Source organism: Homo sapiens, chromosome 6, assembly GCF_000001405.40.
Source record: "Homo sapiens chromosome 6, GRCh38.p14 Primary Assembly".
Classification (NCBI taxonomy): Eukaryota; Metazoa; Chordata; class Mammalia; order Primates; family Hominidae; genus Homo; species Homo sapiens.
The window spans coordinates 8,130,916-8,134,654 of NC_000006.12; the positions used below are offsets into that span (position 1 = coordinate 8,130,916).

At 44.8% G+C, this 3,739-nt stretch overlaps 1 annotated feature.

Annotated features, from left to right (window-relative positions):
• Positions 427–476: an enhancer, noted in NCBI's record as "active region_23958". NCBI's record gives its function as "activates an Ori minimal core promoter by ATAC-STARR-seq in GM12878 lymphoblastoid cells {active_cell/tissue: GM12878}" and the evidence as "EXISTENCE:reporter gene assay evidence [ECO:0000049][PMID:35858748]".

A 3,739-nucleotide genomic window follows, 5' to 3' on the forward strand; every position in this document is an offset into this window, starting at 1 on the left:
TTTCGTGAATACATCGCCAAGGCCGCATTTTGGGGAAGAAGTCTTCACAGGAGAGAGACTCTGGAGCTCCAGCAGCTCTGAAATGGACAAATCTAGAGGTGTTTTTGGTCTTCACAATCCGTCTTCTCCATCTGTCACATACAAACTGAACATCAGGCCTCATTCTCTCTCCCAATGGCGAACCTTCCCTACCTTGGTAAACTGGCAAGGACCTCCCCTGATTTAGTCTGCGCCAGCTCATAGGACTGGGTGTGTAATTGCTAGGGAGGAAAATGGTGGTTGACAATTAAGCATCAACAGTGTCATTGATCTTTTGGGGAAGAGAAGAGGAGCTTGTAACAGCCAAAGTATCTACACATTTTTGTATTGTGTATTTATTCTATAAATGTATTTATGCCTTATATGGCATATGTCATTTAAACTGGAACAGGCAGAGTGTCAAGAGGCCAGGGCTGTATATTTATCATCTGAGCACGGTGCAGGGGGCTGAGCCATTTCCTCTCCATCTAAGCTGTTTTTTGGAATCTGACCAGCTGGTGTCACTATGGGACCGTGAATACAGGCATCTTCAGAGCTCTAGGAGTAGAAGAATTTTGGATTGGCGTTGTGGCCCTGGGAAAGGTAACCTTCCTCCCACCCAGCACGAGCCTCCGCCCGACCTCCTCTCTCCCTGTGCCTGCATAGTTTATAAAATTGAGAACTAGCGGACGGATTTAATTTTGATGGAGAATTACCTGTAGGCAAGAGGGCAATCAAACCCATACTGTTAAGGGGCGGGGGGACAAAGGTAATGAATCTGTTCTGTACGTTTAGCAAATGGAGAGTGTCAGGCTAATAATCCGTCAGCTCCTTTTTCCTATGCAATAAGCTTCCGTTACATCTTGTTAGGTACTACGAACTCAGCACTATCTATAAGGGGCTGATTAACCAAGCAGTGCCTTTTCCAAGCTTCTCATTTCCTGTGTCCTTTCTGCCACCTGCCCTTCATCTATTTGGACCATCAAGGAGTCCCAGGTGAAAAGGGGATTTCAAATCAGTCTCTCAGTCACCAAGTTTTAGCAAATTATGGAGGTTTGGTATGGGAGAAGCTCGAGAATAAAAGCTGAGAAGTGCTTTGGAATTCACTGCAGGTAGAAGGCATCTCTGCCTGCGTTTCCTGTCACTACTGCGAATCATGTACAGTCTTTCATGGACCACGGGGGATCAGATAAAGCTCTCCGAGTTTAAATTTCGTTAAAAGAAGAGTCCTGCTGACCCAGGGTCGTTAACTGGCTATCCCCAGTTTGCCAAGGCTGCCATAATGAAGTACCACAGACCGAGCGGTGTCAACAGCAGACATTTATTTCCTGACAGTTCTGGAGGCTGGAAGTCCAAGAGGAAGGTGCAGGCAGGGCTGGGTTCTGGTGAGGCCTCTGTCCTTGTCTTGTAGATGGCACCTTCTCACTCTGTCCTCATGTGGTCTTACCTTTGTGTGCTCCCATCCCTGCTACCCCTTCCATGTCCACATTTCCTCTTCTTACAAAGACACAAGTTAGCTTCGATTAGGGCTCACCCCACTGGCCTCATTTAACCTAATCACCTCTTTAAAGGCTCTGTCTTCAAATACATCTCATTCTGAGGTACTAGGGGTTAGGGCTTCAACATAAGAATTTGGGGGAAACATAATTTAACCTCTACCCCTGTCCCCATCCCTTCACTGGTCTGGATTGAAGTTGACCAGCTTGAGATGCTGATTATCTGACTGAAATGTGTCTCCTTGGCTTTTATTTTATTTTATTATTATTTTTTGAGACAGGGTCTGGCTCTGTCACCCAGGCTGGAGTGCAGTGATGCGATCTCGGCTCACTGCAGCCTCTACCTCCTGGATTCAAGTGATTCTCGTGCCTCAGCCTCCTGAGTAGCTGGGACCACAAGTGTGCACCACCACGCCTGGCTAACTTTTTGTAATTTTTGTAGAGATGAGGTTTTGCCATGTTGCCCAGGCTGGTTTCAAACTCCTAGGCTCAACCAATTCACCTGCCTCAGCCTCCCAAAATGCTGGCATTCCCTTCAGCTTTTACGTGCCATTCTGAGTAGCATGGTTCATACTTGCCAACAGCCCATGATCCTCCTCTTCAGAACCATGAGAACATAAAGAATTTCTTCTTGATGCCCAGAGACCCTTCCTGAAGACCACAGAACCTGGGAGGACAGAGGGACCTGTTCAGGTGACAGGACCTAGGGCCTTGCCCAGGGTTCCTAAAGAGTTTTTGATTGATCCCAGGGTTCCCTAGCTTGGTCTTCTTTCTTTTGTCTTCAGGCTTTTGCTGGAGTGCACTGGTGCGATCTCAGCTCCCGCAACCTCTGCCTCCTGGGTTCAAGCAATTCTCATGCCTCAGCCTCCCGAGTAGCTGAGATTACAAATATGTGCCACCACACCCGACTAATTTTTGTATTTTTAGTAGACATGGAGTTTCATCATGTTAGCCAGGCTGGTCTTGACCTCCTGGCCTCAAAAGATCTGCCCACCTCAGCCTCCCAATGTGCTGGGATTACAGGTGCGAGCCACCGCGACCAGTCTTCAGGCTTTAGATATGCATTTTAAAGAAATTTTTCTGCCAAGATGTTGTAAAGTTAACGTATTGAAAATAAAGTTGATGCAAAAATAATTGAATTCACAATGTATTTTTGCTATGCAGTACAGAAAGCTTTCACCTTTTACCACATAAAAATAAAGCAATACAAATTAAAATAATGTGCAGATATATGCTCTTATCAAATTAGCAAGTAATAATGTTCATGCTAGAAAATTTAGAAAGTATAAATAAACAAAAGGAAGAAAAATCAATTATATATAGCTCTTAATATAGGGTTATTTATCTCTACTTCTTTTTAGGTATAAACATATTTTACAAAAAAAAAGAGAGAAAGATTATACTATATACTGCTTTTTTTTTTTTTTTTTTTTTTTGCTGGATGGAGTCTTGCTTTGTCGCCCAAGCTGGAGAGCAGTAGTGCCAACCTCCGCCTCCCATGTTCAAGTGATTCTCTCACCTCAGCTGCCCGAGTAGCTGGGATTACAAGCATGCACCACCACATCCAGCTAATTTTTGTATTTTTAGTGGAGATGGGGTTTCGCCATGTTGGCCAGGTTGGTCTTGAACTCCTGACCTCAGGTGATCCACCCGCCTTGGCCTCTCAAAGTGCTGGGATTATAGGTGTGAGCCACTGTGCCTGTCCACCGCTTTTTAACAAAGAGAAAAAAATTAACTAAACCACCCCCCAACCAAATTAGCAACTTAATGGAATTAATGAATCCAGTTGTGTATACAATAAATGTTGCTTGCCTACCATACCAGCACTGTTCTAGGGCTGGAGACATGGGGGTGAACAAAATAGACAAAGTCTCTTGCACTCACATTCTAGTGGAGAGACATAAACAACAAGTAGCAAATCAATATGTGCAGCATATCATGGATTCCAAATGCATACACATTTTTAGAGCATCTCTGATACTGGGATGCATCTTAGGGTCACTGTTGGTCTGTAATGGTCACTGCCTGAAAAGTGTGACATCGAAAACTTCAGGATAGGTGTCAAGAGCATGGAAGACAATCCCAGAGACAATATGGCCCACCCTTTTAGTGTCTATGAACAAATGGTTCTGGGGTGGAAGTCGGGGCAGCAATGAATTAGCAGAATGTAGCAACCTCCTGGAAGCGGCAGTTAAGTCGTGCTGCACTGCATTGTGCATAGCTGG